Source organism: Homo sapiens, chromosome 1, assembly GCF_000001405.40.
Source record: "Homo sapiens chromosome 1, GRCh38.p14 Primary Assembly".
NCBI classification, from domain to species: Eukaryota; Metazoa; Chordata; class Mammalia; order Primates; family Hominidae; genus Homo; species Homo sapiens.
Window position 1 is genome coordinate 236,943,600 of NC_000001.11, and position 21,280 is coordinate 236,964,879.

The 21,280-nt window shown below is 44.8% G+C and overlaps 2 long non-coding RNA genes across 2 annotated transcripts in view; both read left to right on the top strand.

Annotated features, from left to right (window-relative positions):
• The first annotated feature begins 237 nt into the window (after nucleotides 1-237).
• LOC124904563 (uncharacterized) overlaps nucleotides 238-21,280 on the top strand; it is a 39,144-nt gene continuing 18,101 nt past the window's right edge. The window contains exon 1 of the long non-coding RNA XR_007066964.1: nucleotides 238-506. This is a non-coding gene — a long non-coding RNA (uncharacterized LOC124904563). The remainder of the gene's footprint in view (nucleotides 507-21,280) is intronic.
• On the top strand, nucleotides 2,937-5,817 carry LOC124904564 (uncharacterized). The gene is made up of 2 exons (XR_007066965.1): nucleotides 2,937-4,334; nucleotides 4,860-5,817. It is a non-coding gene; the product is annotated as an uncharacterized LOC124904564 (long non-coding RNA).

Here is a 21,280-nt window from a genome sequence, read left to right on the forward strand (position 1 = left end):
CCATGGTGTTTTTGTTACGGCCACTTGAGCTGTCCAAGAAATTTGGAGATGGGTGGACCTGGCTTTGCATGCCAGCCCTACCATTTGTTAACCACTTGACCTTGAATTTCTTGAAGAAAGAGTTCTTGAAAATAATTTGTGAGCTTCTAGGAGACAGTGTGGGCAGTCCCTGGCACATAAAATGCAACTCACAAGCATTGGTTTCCTCCACTTGTCTGTAAGGCAGCTAGGAGGGTTTCCAGGGCCCAATAATGGGTACATAAAAATTACCTGGCTGTATCAAAGGAAAGGATAAAAACAGATTGGACTATTAACTTGGGTGATGTAAATACTGATATTTTGGAATGAGTAAAATTGCTTTGGATACCTTAATTCTGATGGGCTATCCTAAATTTCAGAGAAAACATGTAATGCTAGGATGTCTACATCAGACAGTAGAAAGCTGCTGAAGGAAGACTCCGGGGATTATGGATGAGCTCTGCCTGTAACTTGCAGTGTGGCCTTGGGTAAGTCATTTTACCATTTGTGGACACCTATTAAGGGGATTGGGCTGCTATCTTTAATTTCCTCCTAGGTGTAATAGTTTATGATTCTAGATACCAGTGTTTGTGTACTAAGCGTGCTATTTTATAATTGACATCCAGTGGTATTAAGTGCTGTAACATGATGTTACTCAGCAACAGGCCTGTATAGTTTACAGCTAGAACAGTAATCATTCCCGAGAGCAGATGCCTGGTGTTTAATGAATTTTGCCTCTTACTACTCTTTTTGTGTGTGTGTGTGTGAATTGGTGCCTCCCTTCTCCCCCTACCTACTTACATAATCAGAGTCTAAATTCTGTTGACACAAGTTATGTAGTCTGGATTCTTCAGAAATTTCAGCTTATTTTGGAAACTCTGAATTCTATAATTTTTTTTTTGGATCTTGCAGAATAATCTTTTCCACTCCCCCAGAGAAACACTTTCAGTGCTTTTGTTTTGAATTAAAATAATAAATTCAACGTTATAAAGAAGAGGATGTTTTTCCCCGTGGAGTCCACCCTGGATCTAATCCTATTTTGTAAAAGCTTAACATTCATCAGAACTTGTTTGTGACATCCCCTCTTCTGAAGCAGCCCAGGACTCAGTCCTGCCACCCCTGTGACTTGGGCAAGCACCATCTGTCAAGTCCAGGTTGGGCCAGGCTGTCTAAGAGAAGGAGAAGGTATGAGGGTCCACTGAGTTTGCAGGGGCAACTCCTCCACTAGGCTTCTGCCACTCATGTGCTGTGCTTCAAAGACACAATCCCCAGCCTACAGAAGGATGAGAATGGGCAGTTACATCTACAGGCAAATGAGGCATAGACTCACAGTTGGATCCCCTTTTTTCTCTCCCAAATTCCAATCTCTCTAAAAAATACTGAACTTGTATTCAGAACACCTAACTTCCCATTTGGACCCTGCTACCACTAACTGTGTGGCCTTCAGTATGTCACTCAACTTCTGTATACTTAGTTTCCTCATACTCAAAAGAGAGCAATGGACTAAATTGGGAATGGCAAATACAAGACTTGCACATTATCAGCTGCCCTGCCCATGCAAGGGCCAGACATCACTAATCAATTGTAGCACTCCCAGCACTTGAGAAAGCCATTATTAATCGATTGAGGTCAACACACAAAATGGTAACTGACATATCTGCATGAAATGACCTCTAAAGTCTCCTTCAGATTGAAATATCAGAAAGTGGAATAGGTTGCCAGGGACCAGAATCTCCTCTACCTAGAATTAGGAAAGTCCTATTCGAAGGCAGAGCAATCGGCAAAATGAACTTAAAATTTCTATGATCATTTAGCAACTGAACTCAACTAAGCCAACATTTATTAAACATCTTCTATGATCAAAGCTCTCTGCTAGTGATGCTGGGATGCAAAGATAATGACCACCCTTTATCTCAAATAACTAAAAATTGCATAGAGGAAGCAGGCAGAATGGCCTACATGTAAATAGCAATACATAAGCAACACATGGGAGCCAAGGTGCTAGAAATAATTTTTGGCTGGGTGCGGTGGCTCATGCCTATAATCCCAGCACTTTGGGAGGCCGAGGCGGGCGGATCACCTGAGGTCAGGAGTTCAAGACCAGCCTGACCAATACGGTGAAACCCTGTCTCTACTAAAAATACAAAAAATGAGCCAGGCATGGTGGCAGGAACCTGTAATCCCACCTACTTGAGGCTGAGTCAGGAGAATCGCTTGAACCCGGGAGGCGGAGGTTACAGTGAGCCGAGATCGCGCCATTGCACTCCAGCCTGGGCAACAAGAGCAAAACTCCATCTAAATAAAAAAAAAAGAAACAATTTTTTACCCTGTCCTAAATGCTTTATATAAAATAATAATAATAATTTTGTCCTCTCAACAACTACATGAGGAGGTATTTGTATTATCGCCATTTTTCAGGCTGAGCAAACTGAGACCCCATGAGGTTAAAAAATTTCCCCAAACTCACACAACTAGTTTAATAGCAAAATCAGGACAAAAACTCAAGGACTTAGGCTCCAAGAAAGGATTCTAAGGGGATTAAGGTCAATGTCACAGTAGGTAAACATCTGACTTGGAAAATGAGAATGATTTTAATAGGGAAGAAAAGGAGCAGGACCTTCCAGGCCAAGGAGTCCTGAGAGGGTCTGGTGTGCTGCGGGCCTTGTTTATAAATATTCCCTAGCAGGTAGCAGCGTCCCCGGCTGTAGCAGAGGCTCAATCAATGTGGATTCTATACACGGTGTTTGGATGAACTCTAAGGTGCATGTAATGGGTGATAAGGTTGGCGAGTAAATTTGGAGAAAGATTTTGCAGGACTTGGAATGCGATGGTCATGAGCAGCAACTTGGGAGTCCCATTCTTGTGGAATTCTGAGAGGACCTGTGATGCAAGTGGTCTTATGCAAGGATGATGATTCTGGCATTAATGTGATTGATGGATCAGAGAGGCGACAGCCTGGATGAGGGCAGATGGGGCAGGAGGCTGGCAGAGTTGTCTGGGGCAGAGGAGACCAAGAGACCCTGAACAAGGACAGTGTCTGTGAAACTGAGGGAGAAATGCGGGCAGGTGAGTGAGTGAGTGTGGGTGAGCAGGCTCAAGATGATGCCACGGTTTGTAGTCTGGGTGACAGGGAAGATGTGACATGCACACACATGCAATGATGAATTCATGATCACACACGCACACCACGTGCATGCTTCTGTGTCCTGGTCTGACACTATTCTGAAGCTCATTTAGTGACCAAGTGCAGTATGCTTAAAGGCAATGAGATCCGATTCCACAATCTAGTGGCTCATCAGATTTACAAAATAGAAAGCGGAGCTGGCCAAAGAGAATACTCCAGAGTTTGAGTCATTGCAGCAGATGCCATGCAAGGCCAGGTTGATACACACAGAAGCAAAAGTGGGGGTTAACCTGAACCAGGTGGTTCTTTCTAGAGTGAGGGCCAACCTGAACCAGGTGCTTCTTTCTAGAGTGAGGGCCATTGCCTCTGACTTCAGAGGTGTTGATCTTAAGCAGCACGCTTCCAAAGGATCCAGGGAAATATTCTATCTGAGCACACAGTGAAGGCCAGGAAGCAACTACTCTATGCAGACATAAAAATAATGGGATGAACTGTCAGAACTGTCAACGTCAGGGGCAGAGAAAAACCTGTTAGCTCAGCTAGTTCAGGCCCAGTACCGCAACTGAGTCTAAGAGCTTGTCACCATGCAAAGCCACCTGGGAATGAGGTCTTTCCTGGGTCTGACTTCCTTCTGAAATACATCCTGTTGAGACTGTCAGATGGGTATGGAGTGGGGATCCAGTCCCGCTCTTTTGTTTACTGGCTGTGTCACTTGGCAAGTCGCTGACTGAAACTCTACAGATTTCCTCACCTGTAACACAGAAATATTTAGAAACATTCCTCCTGGGCTGTCATGAGGATTCAATGAGATTGTGCAATTAGCGCAGTGCCCGGCACATAGTTAGTGCTCAATAAACGTTAGCTGTGGTCCTCTTACTAGACTCATTCACAATTTGCACGTGTCTATATGGATTACGTGCTGTCGATCTCAGACAGTTTTCAGGTAGAATTTTTAATCAGGTTTTGAGTTATTTATAACAGATTCTAGCAGGAATCTTAAGAGGTCATTTAGTCTAACCTCCAGAAAGAATCCTGGATGTAATGCCCCTACTTCCATTTGCATTTCTTCTTACCCAAAGCAAAGCCTCTACGTTGGGAGTGGATATACGACACGCATGGAAACCAAACAATTAAGAGCAATTCCCCGTGAGGCGGCAGGCAGGCAGTTTTCAAATCAGCTGCTCTTGGCAAGGTGGGTGGCTGTGGTAAGCACAGGAGGCCCTGTGGGGCGCAGGCCTCTGAATCACGGGGAGACTTTCCAGTAGCACTCAGGCTGAGAGGTCTCATCACCAACAAGAGCTAGGGGAGGGGAGGGAGAGGAAGAACAAGAGGAAGCGGGGGAGCCAGAGAGGGGGAGGCTCAGAGGGAGACAGGGAGAATGCAGGGAAGAGAAAGAGAAAGAAAGAAGGGAAGAGAGGAGAAAGGAAGAAAGGGGAGGAGAGAGGAGACAGCGTGCAGAGAGAGAGACTTTTCACTTCTCCAGTAGAGGAAGAAATTGCAGTACAAGCATTGAAGATGAGCCATACCTTCTGAAATTCTAGAATTGTGACTAAACTACACAGCGGCAAGTAAGAACAGATATAGCCAGAGCTACAGAGATGCTGTGGATGACAATTCCAGATTTAGCATAAAGCCTTTCGCCTCTTCTATTAGGCTCTATTTGCTGGGCTTCCCCTGCTCCCAGCTTGTTACATAGCATCGGTTGTTAAAAATTCAGGTCTTCCCTGCGTGTCGTTAGAGTGAGTTCAACCTGGAGATGTTAGACCTTCACTCAGCAGATCCCCAGGAGCCTGGAGGAGCTCAGAGCAACAGCTTCCCTCTCTTCTCCATCTGCTAGAATTGGCCAGGGGCCTGACTTCTTGGCTGCAATCAGTTTCCTTTCCATTTCCCAGTTGGGATGGAGTTCCAGCCCCTAACCCCAGCCTCGCTTGCTGGGTCCCTGAAATCCTTGGCCAATTTCTGCCAGCACCTGCTCCACAGGGACTGAGCCCTGCTGCCTGTTGTCCTTGTAGCAGTTTTGGACAGAACTTTTTGGCTTCTGGCCTTAGCCTTCTGAGGACCCCTTGTTGCTGTTGCCACGCCTCTGGTCAGATCTTGGTGTCCATGTGACTCCAAGCATGACTTTAGATTATCTACAGCCCTGGGATTCAGCAACTGCCAGCACTGCTTGACGACGAGGCCCCTCTCAGGTTGGCATCCTCCATCCAACTGTGTCCACTCCATCTTTTATTCACACCGAGAAATCTCTTCTAATCATACAATGGGAGCCCGAGGATTCCCTGCAATGTATACAGTAGCCCTGATGCAGAAAAGGAACGAGGCCACTCTCAGAACCAATGACCTAATTTGTGGAGTCCAGTGCAAAATGTAAACGTGGGGCCCCTGGTTCCAAAAGTACTGAGAATTTCAAGACAGACGGAGCAGAGCATTAAGCCCAGCATGGGGCCTATTTAAGGCTGCATACCCACAAAGCCAGCCCTGGCTTCGTGGAACAAGAGAGGACACAGCATAGCCCAGAAAGCAATTCAGAACTGGGTGTGTGTACCTAAATGAGGACCTGGGCCAGTCCTGGACAGTGAGAAGAGATTGCGTTTATTCCAAAACCATGTTGTGGTCATCTGTCATTTATACTTGTATGTTGTATATTTGAATAAACTCAATAATTTTGGTAACCTGAATACTGCTCTTTTTGTAGAATGGTACCTGTCCTTAGTAAATAGCTTCTGTGGTTGTCACTGTCAGGCTCCATATTGAAGAAGTCTCTTAGGTATTGTCACAGTGTGAAGAGCTTACATGGCATCACCGTCAAGTTTCTGCTGCAAGCTGGGTGCGATGGTGCACGCCTGTAATCCCGGCACTTTGAGAGGCTGAGGCAGGCAGATCACTTGAGGCCAGAAGTTTGAGACAAGCCTGGGCAATATAGTAAAAACCCATCTCTACAAAAATATACAAAAATTAGCTGGGGTGGTGGCACATGCCTGTAGTCCCAGCTACTTGGGAGGCTGAGTTGGGAGGACTGCTTGAGTCCAGGAACTTGAGGCTGCTGGGAGCTGTGTTTGCACCACTGTACTCCAGGCTGGGTGACAGAGCAAGAACCTGTCTCAAAAACAAAACAAACAAACAAACAAAAAACCAGGGCTGGGCATGGTGGCTCATGCCTGTAATCCCAGTACTTTGGGAGACCAAGGTGAGCATATCACTTGAGGCCAGGAGTTTGAGACCAGCTTGGCCAACATGGCGAAACCACATCTCAAAAAAAAAAAAAAAAAAAATTAGCCAGATGTGGTGGTGCATGCCTTTAATTCCAGCTACTCGGGAGGCTGAGGCAGAAGAATCACTGGGACCCGAGAGGCAGAGGTTGCAGTGAGCCGAGATTGTGCCACTGCACTCCAGCCTGGGTGACAGAGTGAGACTCTGTCTCAAAAAAAAAAAGAAAAAAAATATCAAACCAACTAAACAAAAAAGCCTGCGTGTTTAGTGGTAACTTATGAAATGGAAAAAAAAAAAAAAAAAAAAAGAGAGAGAGAGAGAGAAGAGAAGTTTCTGTTACAGACGAGCTTGGGTGGCAGCCACTTTTTTTGTTTTATTGTTTTATTGTTTTATATTGGTTTTTGTTTTATTGTTTATTTTTGTTTATATATATATTTTGTTTTGTTTTGTTTTATTTTTGTGTGGTTTTTTTGTTTGTTTTTTGGTTTTTGGTTTTTTTGAGACAAGGTCTTGCCATGTTGCCCAGGCTGGCCACCTTCATTCTTGAATAACAGAAGAGGATTTTAGCCAGGTAGGCAGCAGTGAACACCTCGGGAATTCGGCCAGGTCACCGGTAATCTTCAGGCCGCAGTTGGAAGGGTATTTGGAATAAATCCTAGTGTGTGCTTTGCATCAATCCAACTTGCTTTTGCAGGAAAGAAAAGAGGGGGTTGTATTGGTTCAATCAACAAATATTCTACTCATCTGGGCAAGGCTCTATAGCAGCTGTTGCAAGCGCCCTGAAAGAGACTAAGACACAGTCCTGGCCCCAAAGCGCGTCCTCATTGAGGCAGTAGGTTGTGGTGTAAAACCAGTGGATTAGGGGTTGGTTTGGCCTTTTGTTCCTAACAATGTCCAGGTCCCACAGGCTAGGGAGGGCTACATTGGGTTTGTGGCTAGGTTCTGGGGGAACCCTGAGCAATTTACACCTTTTCTGAGACTCTGGTTCCTCATCTATAAATGGAGTGGGTAGCTCCTTCAAACACTTTTGTCAGGATAAAATGTTATGCTGAATCTGACGGCACATTGGAATGCATGTAAGACTATACCGTATCAGATCACAGTGATAATAAGGACCTTCCTCCTTCCCTTTCTCTGTGTCTTCCTTCCAACCCAATCCATCACCCTTCCATCAGATCACAGTGATAATAAGGACCTTCTTCCTTTGCTTTCTCTGTGTCTTCCATCCAACCCAATTCATCGCCCTTCCATCAGATCACAGTGATGTAAGCACCTTCCTCCTTCCCTTTCTCTGTATCTTTCTTCCAATCCAATCCATCACCCTTTCCATGTCTCAGACTCCCTTATAATTCTTTGGGAAACTTCTCCTGACCTTTTCCTGTTTGGGACTCACCTATTTCCCATTTCTACTCCAAACCTCAATTAGCTGGCAAAGAACAGAGGATGTGTAAACTAATTTACATAATTTACATTTAGAAGTGTATCCAGGCTGGGTAAGGTGGCTCACACCTGTAATCCCAGCACTTTGGGAGGCTGAGGCATGTGGATCACTTGAGGTCAGGAGTTTGATACCAGCCTGACCAACATGGTGAAAACCCATCTCTACTGAAAATATGAAAATTAGCTGGGCATGGTAGCAGGTGCCTGTAATGCCAGCTAGTGGGGAGGCTGAGGCAGGAGAATCGCTTGAACCTGGGAGGCGGAGGTTGCAGTGAGCCGAGATCACACCATTGCACTCCAGCCTGGGTGATAAGAGTGAAACTCCATCTCAAAAAAAAAAAAAGAAGTGTATCCATTTGCGCTGGCCACTGTAAGAACATAGCAGAGTTGGGGACTTAACAACAGAAATGTATGTTCTGACAGATCTGGAGGCTTGAAGTCCAAGATCAAGTTGTCGGCAGGGTTGGTCTTCCTGCGGCCCCTCTCCTGGGCTTGCAGAGGCCCTCTCCTCCCCGTGTCCTCACGTGGTCTTCCCTCTGTGTGAGGCAGTGTCCTAATCTCCCCTTCTCATAAAAGCGCCAGTCAGATCGAATTGCAACCTGCCCTAGAGCCTTGTTTTAACTTAATTACCTCTTCAAAGACCCTATCTGCAAATACAGTTGCATTTGGAGGTCCTGGGGATTAGGATTCCAACATATGAATTTGGGGGCACATAATTCAGGCCATAACAATGAGATAATGATAAATAATTCCCCTCTTCTAAAATTCTTTGCATTTGCAAAGAGGATGCTGAAAGAAAGAAAACTGTAAAGCAAAGGATGTCTGAAGAAGGATTTAGCATTTCAAGACCAGTTGGATGTGGGGGGTATTTTTGGCTGGGGACCCTCTTGGCACCCCTCACATACCAACATACAGACAGCCACCTGCTCTGCCCACGAACACGGCTGGCACTGGGTAGACAGACCACATTTTCATCTTCTTTCTGGATTCCAAAGAAATAAGCCAGTCTCACCTTCCTGCCTCTAAGGAACACCAGGGTTTTTTAACTAGTTCCTTATATGGCAGCTGTTTCAGCTCTGCCTGGAGAATTCAAGCCGTCAGCCTGGCCAACTGTTGAATACTACAGGGAGAGGCATTATTTGGCTCCCAGGAAATAAGAACTCCAAAATACCTACCATAGCAGGGCATAGCCCTGAAACGGCTGCCACTTCTCCGAGCCATGAAGTCAGTCTCTGCTCCAGCTGTGGCGAGTTGTAGAGAGATAAACGACCGGCTGTGTTTTTGTGGGGAAGAAAAAGAGAAATGAGCTTTTTAGCTTTCTGCAAAAAGAACAGGCCTCCTGCCTTGGGTAATTCAGACTCGTTGCTAGAATATGGAATATGTTGTTGGCAGAAAACAGACAGGTGAGCCCAGCAGGTATGAGCTGCTTGCAAGGGAGGGTGTCAGGAACTCCACCTGTTCCCTGTAGAGACTGGACTTCTTCAAATGATATCCATGACTCATTCTTTGCCTGGAAAAGACAGAAACCTTTCATTACCCCCTTACTTGTAGAAAATAGGTTTGTGTGTGTGTGTGTGTGTGTGTGCAGATATTTTGACAACATAGACATTTGCATTCAGAGACTGCTGGAGCTTTTAGAACTAAAAAAGTTACAAATACGCAATAATCTTATCTTGCTAATTCGTGAGGAATGCCCTTTCATATCGATATACACATACATGCAGTTGATTTTGTGCATTATAAAATAGGTGAAATGTTTTGCTCCATCCTCTGTCCTTGTTCACAGAAAACGAGGCTCACCACACATCCAGGCCATCGTAATAAGGATTGCTTTCTTAGTCTTCATAAAGATCTCAAGCTATAAGCCAAAGACTGTTGTTTGTTTGTTTCCATTTACAGCTTGCCAGCAGCCTGCTAGGTGATGGCCCAGAATCCATAACTAGCTGCAGTCTTGCCAGACAAGACCTGGGGAAGCTTCTCCATCTGCCTGCAGTGGCAATCAGACCTGTACTGATGAAATCAGGGAAGGCTGGGATTCACATAGTCAGAGAGATGAGGGAGGTAGATGTTTCCCTAGGACATGCTTTTTAGTCATTTGCTGAAAAGACTTTCATGGCTGTGTAAAGCTGCCAGCTGTCTGGAACAAAGGAAACAGATAAAAGGGACATTCTTGGGAATAAAGGGCATCACCACCTTCAGCAAAGAGGAATAGGACACAAGAACAGATATAGAAAAGATTCTAAAGGGAAAGGAAGATTCTGCTGCCCAAAAGAAAGCAAGATAGCAAAGGTCTCCTGGAGTTTGGATTGAAATAGGAGGTGAATGGTGACAAGGAGACTGAAAAAGCAAGTCAAAGGGACATGTGTCTGGATAGGTTGTGTCATAGTGTGACAACAAGTATGACACAAGTTAAAACAACCCAAGTTCATTTCTTATGCATGTTAACAGGCCTCACAGATTAGCTGGAAGCTCCATCTCTTGGCGTCTTATGATCATCCAGTAACTAGGCTGATGGAGGCTCTGTTGTGACACTGAGGCAGAAGGACAAGAACATACCTTAATTTATATTGAACACTGAGTGTTAAAGCTTCCACCCAAAATGGGCACATATAGCTGTTGCATTTTATTGCCAAAGCAAGGCACTTGACCATCCTGACTTCCAGGGGATAAGGAAGTGAAATCCCCACCGTACTTGGAAAGAGGACCAAAATTTTTGGTGAATAGCACTAGTAGTCATTGGTGCTACAGCAAACATCACAGACCAAGAAAAGGATGGGAGGGAGGCCCTGGGTGGGCGAGGCCCTGGGTGGGTGTGGTAACCATGGTCACACACATTGAAGGAGCTGGGGCAGGCTTCGAATAGGAATATAAATCTGGTAGGGAAATTATGTCATCAAGCTCCTATTTCTAAAGTCTTCAGCTGTTGCATTCATGCACATACACAGGCAAGCCATTGATTCTCATCAGGTAAGTAATATATCTTTAAGTATTACTTTTGCCCCGTTCTCTTTCTCCTGTCATTTGGGACACCAGTTACAACTATGTTAGAACATTTCACAATGTCCTATTTATCTCTTGGTTTTTGATATTTATCATCTTTTTGCTTGTTTGTTTCATCTTAGATATATTTTTTCTGACCTAGCTTCTAAGTTTACTAATTCTCTTTTCAGCTGTGTCTAATCTGATGTTAAACCTATCCAATATGTTAATTTCATTCATAATATTTATCCATATTAGAATTTCCATTTGGTTTACTTTTTATACTTTATAAGCATAATTTCCAGTTATTCATCAAAAATTTTATATTCTTAAACATATTAATCATGGTTGTTTTAAAGTTTGTGTCTGTTTATTATCTGAAATCCTTATGGGTCTGCTTTTCCTATTGTCTCTTTGTTTGGTCATATCTTATCTTCCTTTATGACTGATTATGTCTTGATAGGTATCAGATAATATATATTAAAATAGATAATTTGAGGCTCCGAATGCTGTTATATTCTTCTAGAGAGGGTGCACTTTTGCATCTGGCCAGCATCTAGGCTAGAAACACTAGCAATTTCAGGTCACATTAATTCAGCCAAGGATAGATAGATTATTTGAAGCTGGGCTTCAGGCCCTGTGAGGGCTAATCTATTGGTTCACACTTACTTCCAGGTACTTGATAGGTTAGGGTATTTACTAGGATCCCTCCTACTCAGCAGTCTCTGAAACCCGCAGTTCCTTGATTTGTGGAGAACTCTATTCAGCTTTTCAGTCTCTCAGCTTCCACTTTCAGAATTTGCATCTGCCTGTGGGGAAAAGTGGTCCCTAACTCCAGGATCATCTCTGGGCCTCCGTTCTCTCTCACACCTGTTTTCCTCACTGATTGGGTATCTCTCTGATGCCTCTAAATGGATATAGTTATATTTCACTAGGCTTTCTAGTTGTTCTGAGTGTGAGAACCATTTCCAGAAGCAAAACTCTAAGAAGTGACATTTGGATGAGATCTGAATGAGGAAGAAATAGAATTATCAAAATCTGGGGAAGAAGGTTCAAGGCAGGGGAAAATGACAAGAAAAATGTTTTGGAGTGAGTGAAAATTTGGTTTTGTTCAAGGAATAGAAAAACCATGGTGTGTGGAAATTAGGGAGCAAGGCGAATGATTGACATGCGGTCAGCAAGGGAGCAGGGGCCAGATCACATGGGCACTGGAGGCCATGAGAAGGGCTGAGGGTATTTTTTAAAGAATATTTTCTATTCACAAGAGCAAAAACATGGAATCAACCTAAATGTCCATCCATGGCAGGCTGGATAAAGAAAATGTGGTACATATACACCATGAAATACTATGCAGCCATAACAAAAAATGAGATCGTGTCTTTTGCGGGAATACAGAAGGAGCTGGAGGCCATTATCCTTAGCGAACTAACACAGGAATAGTAAACCAAATACTGCATGTTCTCACTTGTAAGTGGGAGCTAAATGATGAGAACACATGGACACATACAGGGGAACAACACACACTGGGGCCTATCGGAGGGTGGAGAGTGGGAGGCAGTAGAGGATCAGGAAAAACAACTAATGAGTACTAGGCTTAATACCTGGGTGATGAAATACTCTGTACAACAAACCCCCATGACACAAGTTTAGCTATGTAACAAACATGTGCATGTATCCCTGAACTTAAAAGTTCAAAAAAAGAATATTTGAAGAGAAATGGACCCAGTTCTCAATATGTGTTGTTGAATTGGTCTCTGCCTTCAGGGAACTTTCATAGAAGGGTGGTTCATGTCTTGTGTTCAGTTCCTAGGAACTTGAAATACATAAATGATCCAAAGACTCTACTTGTAGACCTGAAAACCTCATCCAAGATTCCTAAGTTTTTGATTTATCTATAAACCAGGCAGCTTACCTACATCAAAGTAGCTTCAGCAAATCGGAATAAACTCAGAAATGCCATTCACTGGCAGAGTAGCTGCCGGGACTTTCGGAGAAGGGCCAATTACCTCTTCTTTTTACCTCTTCTCCTGTTTCTTCCTTTCTCTCCATTGCCTGTTTTTGAGACGGAGTCTCGCTCTGTCGCCCAGGCTGGAGTGTGGTGGCACGCTCTCAGCTCACTGCAACCTCTGCCTCCCAGGTTCAAGCAATTCTCATGCCTCAGCCTCCTGAGGAGCTGGGATTACAGGCATGCAACACAACGCTTGGCTAATTTTTGTATTTTTAGTAGAGACAGGGTTTCACCATGTTGGTCAGGCTGGTCTTGAACTCCTGACCTCAGGTGATCCACTCGCCTCAGCCTCCCAAAGTGTTGGGATTACAGGCGTGAGCCGCGGCGCCCAGCCTTTCCATTGCCTGTTGCTTTCATGCCATCTAGTGTTTGGTCCAAAATCCCCACTGTGTCCAGGCCTTTTGGGAAGCCCAAACCAAGCCTCCCCATTCCCTGAGGACGTGGCACGATCTACTTATGGATCTCTACCCGATAGAGTAGTAAATACGTATTGAATGAAGGCATGGCTGAGTGAGCAGCGTAACTCACACAAAGACGTAACTCACTGTCCCTGGAGAGAGTTTGCTTAACTAAATGAATTGATAATCCCAAGATAACATAGCGGAGCTAATTTTGAGCAGGATTTCAAATTATGTTTATTTTCTCAAGAAATCTTCCAGGGAAGAGAGTCCCTGTTCTCAGCATCCAAATCTCACATGTTAGCTCCATCTCTCCCCCACCATTTGGAAGTGGCTCACCAATTCGCAAGTCTCAGGAAACAGGTTACTGCTTCGAGACAGAGGCTTTGGTATGGGAAGATGGGTAGGAAAATGTCCAAAACTGGAAATCATGTCTCCATGAGTGCAGGGAGCTCATGCATCGGGTTCAGTTCATAGAAACTTGAAATCCACGATCCAAGAGCCCTACTTTTTAGATTGAAGAGCTCATCTATCCTGGGTTGTAAGAATTCCTAGTTTATCCATAAACCAGGCAGTGAAACCTACATAAGAACCAATTGATATTCAAAACAGCAGAGGGCACACTGGCAGGCCAAACGTCAGAGCAGAACCTGCGTCCTGGCCTGCGGTCCTGCTGCTGGCCCTCAGCTGGGCTGATCCTCTTCCACATGCTTGAAGGTCTTTGTTCCATACAGATCTCAACTCTGGTGATTGTTCTGAACCCAGGCATAAATACCTGCAGGATTATGCCACTAATAGGCATTGCTGAAAGAAAGAGGGAACAAAAGAGAAAAGAAAAATACCTTTCTTTGTATTAAAATTTTGTCAAATGGCATTTTCTAATACTGTGTCCTTCAAGCATATCTCACCCATGGTGAAGATCTCCTGGGCTTGTAAATGCATTTTCTGTAGAAAAGGCAATCCGGCTGGGTGCAGTGGCTCACGCCTGTAATCCTATCACTTTGGGAGGCCGAGGCGGACAGATCACGAGGTCAAGAGATCAAGACCATCGTGGCCAACATGATGAAACCTCGTCTCTACTAACAATACAAAAATTAGCTGGGCATGTTGGTGCGCACCTGTAGTCCCAGCTACTCGGGAGGCTGAAGCAGGAGAATCGCTTGAACCTGGGAGATGGAGGTTGCAGTGAGATCACGCCACTGCACTTCAGCCTCGCAACAGAGCAAGACTACTTCTCAAAAAAAATAAAAAATAAAAAAAAATAAGGCAATCCATTCCATTTAAAGGGGGGTACGATGTGCTTTGTCACACTCAGATGTGGGTTTCTTGCCTTTCCTCTGTGCTCAGTGACGAGCCACTCATATGGCCTTGTATGCAACCCACGGTCCTTTCTCTAAGTACGTACGATTTTCACCCAAGAGCTCTTGGCAGAAGATGCATCAACTTGTTTGGTCATTTCCTGTGACATGTGTAAGAAGTCAACAGCATCAGACCATTTCATTCCAAATGAACCAGGAAGGATCTCAACACTGAGCTCTTTGACAAGGGAATTCAGGGGTGGAAATATTGGAGAACAAACAGCTCTGGGCTCCGGTAATAGCGCTGGTTTCCTTCTCCATAGCTCCAGCTTGGGCAGTTAGGATCACAGATGGCAGGAGAACGGGACCCTTCTGGGAGCTTTCTTAAATCGGATTCTAGAAAGAATATAGTCATTGCACAGGAAGTGCCTGCAAACAAACATCTTGGGTTCAAGAGCATGAGATTCTATTTACATCTTGGCCTGCTTCACAGGTAGGCAACACACCCATTTTTGGGTCTTTGAGTTAGGTAAAGAGCATCCTGTGGGGAAAAAAATAGAAAACGAGAGAGGTAAAGTGACTTACGCAGGATCACTTTACAACGCAATGCCAGGTTTTTCTGAAAGGACCTAATATTCCCCAAGCTCAAGATTTGGCAGCCCTCTGTCAGCTGGTAGTGAGGGGTCCGAGGGGCCAAGTATTGATCCATTCAATCATTTTCATGTGGAGAAAGGGGCATCTTCTGCACCAGGGACTGAGAATAAGCTGTGGAGAAGGCGAATTTGCTCTCTGCTCTTATAGAACTTTCATTGCAGATAAAGAATCAGACAATAAGGAAAAATCAGGATTGTGATCAATTCTAGGAAGGAGGTGCACAGGATGTGGAGAAACAGAGTTCCTGAGAGTGGTTGGGGAGGTGTCTCTGAGGAGGGGACATTCAGGACGCCATGAGGGAAGAAAGCACTGGAGCCAGCCATGCACAGTCTGGGCAAGAGAGCGTCAGGAACGACAGGTGGAGGAAGAGCCTGGAACATTCTAGAAACAATCCTAGTCTCAGAGAACCTGGAGCAAGGGCAGGGGTAGCAAAAGATGAGCCAGAGCTGATGGAGAGGCCAGACTGCACAGGACTCTGGAGAACAGGGTGGGAAATTTCATTTCACTCTGAGCACAAAGGGAAGCCAAGGAGGGTTTTAAAGCAGTGAGGCCATAATTTGATTTGAATTTTTATTATTTATTTATTTATTTATTTATTTATTTATTTATTTATTTATTTTTTGAGACAGGGTTTCTAAGTGCAGTGGTACAGTCATAGCTCACTGCAGCCTCCACCTCCTGGGCTTAAGTATTCCTCCCACTTCAGCCTCTGGAGTAGCTGGGACTACAGATGTTCACCATCGCATCCAGCTAATTTTTTTTTCCTTTTTTTTTTTGAGACGGAGTCTTGCTGTGTCGCCCAGGCTGGAGTGCAGTGGTGTGATCTCGGCTCACTGCAACCTCCATCTCCCGGGTTCAAGCGATTCTTCTACCTCAGCCTCCTGAGTAGCTGGGACTTCAGGTGTGCACCACCACGCCCGGCTAATTTTTTGTATTTTTAGTAGAGATGGGGTTTCACCATGTTGGCCAGGCTGGTCTTGAACTCCTGACCTCGGCCCACCTCTGCCCACCTTGGCCTCCCAAAGTGCTGGGATTACAGGCATGAGCCACTGTACCTGGCTGCATCCAGCTAATTTTTAATTTTTTTTAGAGATGGGATTTCACCACATTGCCCAGGCTGGTCACAAACTCCTGGCCTCAAGTGATCTGCCTTCCTTGACCTCCCAAAGTGCTGGGATTACAGGTGTGAGCCACCATGCCCAGCCTTGATTTGTACTTTTAAAAGATCACTCTGGATAGTGTGTGACAAACTGAGAGTTTGAGGGCAAGAATAGCAACAGGATGCTGAGTACGGTGGCTCATGCCTATAGTCCCAGCTACTCAGGGCCTAAGGTGGAGGGATTGCTTGAGCCCAGGAGTTTGAGGCTGCAGGAAGCTATGAGAGTGCCACTGCACACCAGTCTGGGAGACAGAGCAAGACCCTGTCTCAAAAACAAGAAAAAGGGTAGCAACAGGAACTTATTGCATCAGTGAGAGATAATGGATAATGGAGGCATGGGCCTGGTGGTGGCCATGGGGTGGAAGGAGTGGGTGAGGTCCGAATACGTTTTGGGCATGGAATTGGCAGGACATACAAATGGTGTGTGTTGGGGTGGGCAGGATGCTGGGAGGGAGGAATCAAAGATATTACCTAGAGTTTGACTTTAGTAACTCACTGGATGGAGAGAGGTACCATTTTTTGAGGGGGGAAGACAAGGGAGGAACAGGTTTGCAAGCTGGGAATGCAAAGAGTTCTTTTTTGCGTATTCTACCTAAATGGAGAGGTAAAGAAAGCTGTTCGGTATATCCATTTGGCCCTTAGAGGAATGATCTGGACTGAGGAGAAGAATTTGGGAACCATCAAAATGTAAATGGTATTTAAGGAAATAGGAGTGAACGAGACCACCAGGGAGGAGAGTGTAGCTAGAATTGTGGCAAGAAAGGAGATGCTGGCTCAGGGCTGAGCCCTGCAGCATTTCAGAATCGAAAGGTCTTGGCTGGGCACAGTGGCTCATGCTTATAATCCCAGCACTTTGGGAGGCTGAGGTGGGAGGATGGTTTGAGTTCAGGAGTTTGAGACCAGCCTGGGCAACAAAGGGAGACCACATCTCTACTTTAAAAAAAAAAAGAGCCATATTTAGTGACATGTGCCTGTTGTCCTAGCTACGAGACGCGAAGGCAGGAGGATTGCTTCAGCCCAGGTGTTTGAGGCTGCAGTGAGTCAAGCCATGATGATGACACGCGTTCCAGCCTGGGGGACAGAGTGAGATCCTGTCTCAAAACAAAAACAAAAACAAACAAACAAAATAAAAACAACAAAAAAATACAGGTCTTACAGGGGAAGAGAAGCCCAAGGGGTGATTAAGCAAGTATATTAATTTCCTATTGCGCTATAACACATCACCACTAACATGGTGCTTAAAATAACACACAGTTATTCTCTTACAGTTCTGGAGGTCAGCAGTTCAAAATCAGCCTCACTGGTTGAAACCTAGGTGTGGGCAGAGCTCCAGGAGAGAGCTGCTGCCTTGCTTTTCTCACTTCTGGAGCTGCCTTCCCTGGCTCATGGTCCTATTCTCCATCTCCACAGCCAGCAGCACAGCATCTTGCTTCAGTTGTAACATCACGTTTTCCTTTGGAAGTCAAATCCCCCTCAGCCTCCCTCTTATAAGGACTCATGGGTACATTAAGGGCTCATCCACTTAAACCAGGATAGTCTCCCCCCCTACCAAGATCCTCAACTTAATCACATCTGCAAAGTCTCTTTTGCCATATAAGGTAACATATTCACAGGGTCGTGGGATTAATATATGGCCATTGCTAAAGTTTAGGTATTTGCCCTCTCTAAATCTCATGTTGAAATTCGATCCCCAATGTTGGAGGTGGGGCCTGGTAGGAGGTGTTTGAATCATGGGGGTGGATCCCTCATGAACTGCATGGTGCCCTCCTCTTGGTAATGAATGACTTCTTGCTCTAGTGCATACTGCGAGACCATATTGTGAAAAAGAGCCTGGTACCTCCGCCCTCTTCCTTCCTCTGTCACCATGTGATGCCTGCTCCCTTTCATCTTCCACCGTGATTGGAAGCTTCCTGAAGCCCTCACCAGAAGCACATGCTGGAGCCTTGCTTCTTGTACAGCCTGCAGAACTAGGAGCAAAATAAACCTCTTTTCTCTATAAATTACCCAGCCTCAGGTATTCCTTTATAGCAACACAAAATGAACAAAGACAGATATCTTTGACAGGATCACCTACTGCAGCAAGGGCTGCCAATAAAGTAGGGGGAAAAAACCCAGACTAGAACTTCACAGAAGCTGAAAGAACAGTGTTTCAAGGAGAAAAGGGGCAGGGTGCAGTGACTCATGCCTGCAATCCCAGCACTTTTGGAGGCTGAGGTGGGAGGATCACTTGAGGCCAGAAGTTTAAGAACAGCCTGGGCAACATAGTGAGACCCGGTAGCTACAAAAAAAATTTTTTTTAATTCGTTGGGCATAGTGGTGCACTCCTGTAGTCCCAGCTACTCAGGAGACTGAGGTGGAGGATCTCTTAAGCCCAGGAGTTTGAGGTTACAATGAGCTATGATTGCACCACTGCTCTCCAGCCTGGGTGACAGAGCAGACCCTCTCTCTCTCTCTGTGTCTCTCTCTTTTTTTTTTTTTTTTAAAGGAGTAAAGGATCCTCTGCATTTAGAGCTACTGTGAAGCTAAGCAAGACAGGGGCAGAAAAATGTCCCTTGGCTCTGGCATGATAGAGACTTTTGGTGATCTGGGTAACTAGTCATTTCAATGGAGCAGTAGTGGAAACCAGGTGGCGAAGGGTGAATGCAGCTCTTTCTGGTCAAGATGCTGCGATTTTGTGTGTTAAACTCTCTCATCTGCTCCAGCTCACATCAGGATAGATAGAAGTGGCAGACAGGGCTCACCACGTCTTCCACAGCATAAACTTGTTGCTCTCAGTGGAGTTGTGTGGTTAATTATTTCCAATGGACTTGAGTAGAAGAAGTCAGCTACCAGGGAGGTTGGAAATGGCAGAGCAACAAGATGGAAAGAGCTAGGTCTTCCTTGAATGGCTGCTTGCAGGCAATTATCATTCTAGTGAGACTTGTACTTCCATTATGCTTCAGACAAATATTTTTTCATGTTTCTTTGCTAATAAAGTTAACTAGGACACAGAGCATTAAAGCAATTGTCTTCATCTGTTTTGTGTTGCTGTAACAGAATACCTGAGACTGGGTAATTTTGTAAAGAGAAGAGGTTTATTTGGCTCATGTTTCTGCAGACTGGGAAATTCAAGGGCATGGCCTGGCTTCTGGTGAAACTTTCAGTTTGCATCAGAACATGGTGGAGAAAGTCAAAGGGGAAGCATGCAAAGAACACATGCAAAGAAACACAACCTGAGGGGCATCGTGGCTTTACAACAACCCACTCTTGCAGGAACTAATCAATTTCTGCTGGAACCAATCCAGTCTCGCCAGAGCAAGAACTTGCTAGCATGAGAATGGCACCAAGTCATTCATGAGGGATCTGCCCCCATGACCCAAATACCCCTCACTAGGCTCCACCCTCCAATACCACCACATCAGGGGAGCGAATTTCAACATGAGTTTTGGTGGGGACAAATAAATCATATCCAAACCACAGCAGCAATATTACAAATATATAAATGATGACCCAAATATGATACATAAAAAATGCCTTTGTGATCTCAAACACACAGAGGTAGGTGGAACTAAGCCTGTGGACTCTAGGATCCAGGCTCTGAATCTGTCATTTAGCAGAAGTAGCCTGGAGTTCAATTCTTCAAATAACTGGAAGCTGTGATGTCTCTGGAGTGACCTGTCCTGCATCAAGCTGTGTCTTGGAGGTAGCACAGGGACCTGAGACAACATAGAGTGAACTGCTGGCTCAAGCCCCCTGTTACACTGGGTCTGCAATACTGCCAAAAACAAGAGAGCCTACATATAAGCCTTGTTTTGAACCAGAGAGCCTGCTGCTTTGGGTGAATGCAGTTAAGAATAAGCAGACGTGAGAACAGGTGGAGAAACACTCTCTCTCTCTCTCTCTCTCTCTCTCTTGCCCTCTCTCTCTCTCCTACTGAAGATGAGTCTGTATATTAAAATTCTAAAGCACAACAAACAAATATAATGAAAAGTAGCCAACAAACTGAACAAGTAGGAAAATTAATTCTTGAAGCACTTCAAATAATAGAGCAAAGCCTGAATTGAACTTAAATGAAGTATATTTGATTCCTCAGAGATAAAGGTGGTAATAACACCTATAAAGCAAGCATAAGAAATCATGAGCCAAAAAACAAGAGTCAAAAAGGCATGGGAAGTTGGGTGTGGTGGCAGACACCTGCGGTCCCAGCTACTCAGGAGGCTGAGGTGGGAGGGTCACTTGAGCACAGGAGTTGGAGTCCACCCTGGGCAACATAGTAAGACCCCATCTATAAAGAAAAAAAGGAAAAAAAAGGCATGGGAGCTCTGATTCCTCTGCCTGAGAGCACAGTGACCCCTGGCCCACTTGACCCTGATTTCTTGCTTCCATTGGTCTCTGCCTCTCCATCAGCAGAAGTGAAGAGGGAAGCCCAGAGTCCTGTACGCCCCTGGTAAGATCCCCACTCCCCTCTCCTCCTGCCCTCTCCACAGTTCTCATCTTCCCATTGCCAGCTCTGAAGCTCGCTATGCCTTTTATCCCCAGTGATCTTGATCCCCATGAAAAAGCCAGAGTCACACAGACTTCCTTTCTCCTCATCAGCAAGACAAATCCTCACTCTCTGTTCTCCTCCTCTGGGGTATTCTTTTCCACAGCACTTACCATTAACTGATGCACTCTATGTTTTAGTTAAATATTTTACTGAATTACTCATTTTATGTCAGGAGAACATATGCGTGTGTATTTTATTACTGCTGAGACCCCAGAACACAGAATAGTGTTTGGCATTTTGTAGATACATAATAAATATTGTTGAATGAATGAATCACAGAGATTTAAAAAATAATAATAATGAAGAACTCCTGTCCTAACTCCCAGATCCCAAATCCTGAATCCCGTGTCCCAAATCCCAATGATACACTACAGATAGGACAAATAGGGTTATTGAAATAATAATAAAAACATAGACTGGGTAAATCCATGGTGAAACTGCCTACAATTGAAGACAGAATTTATGAA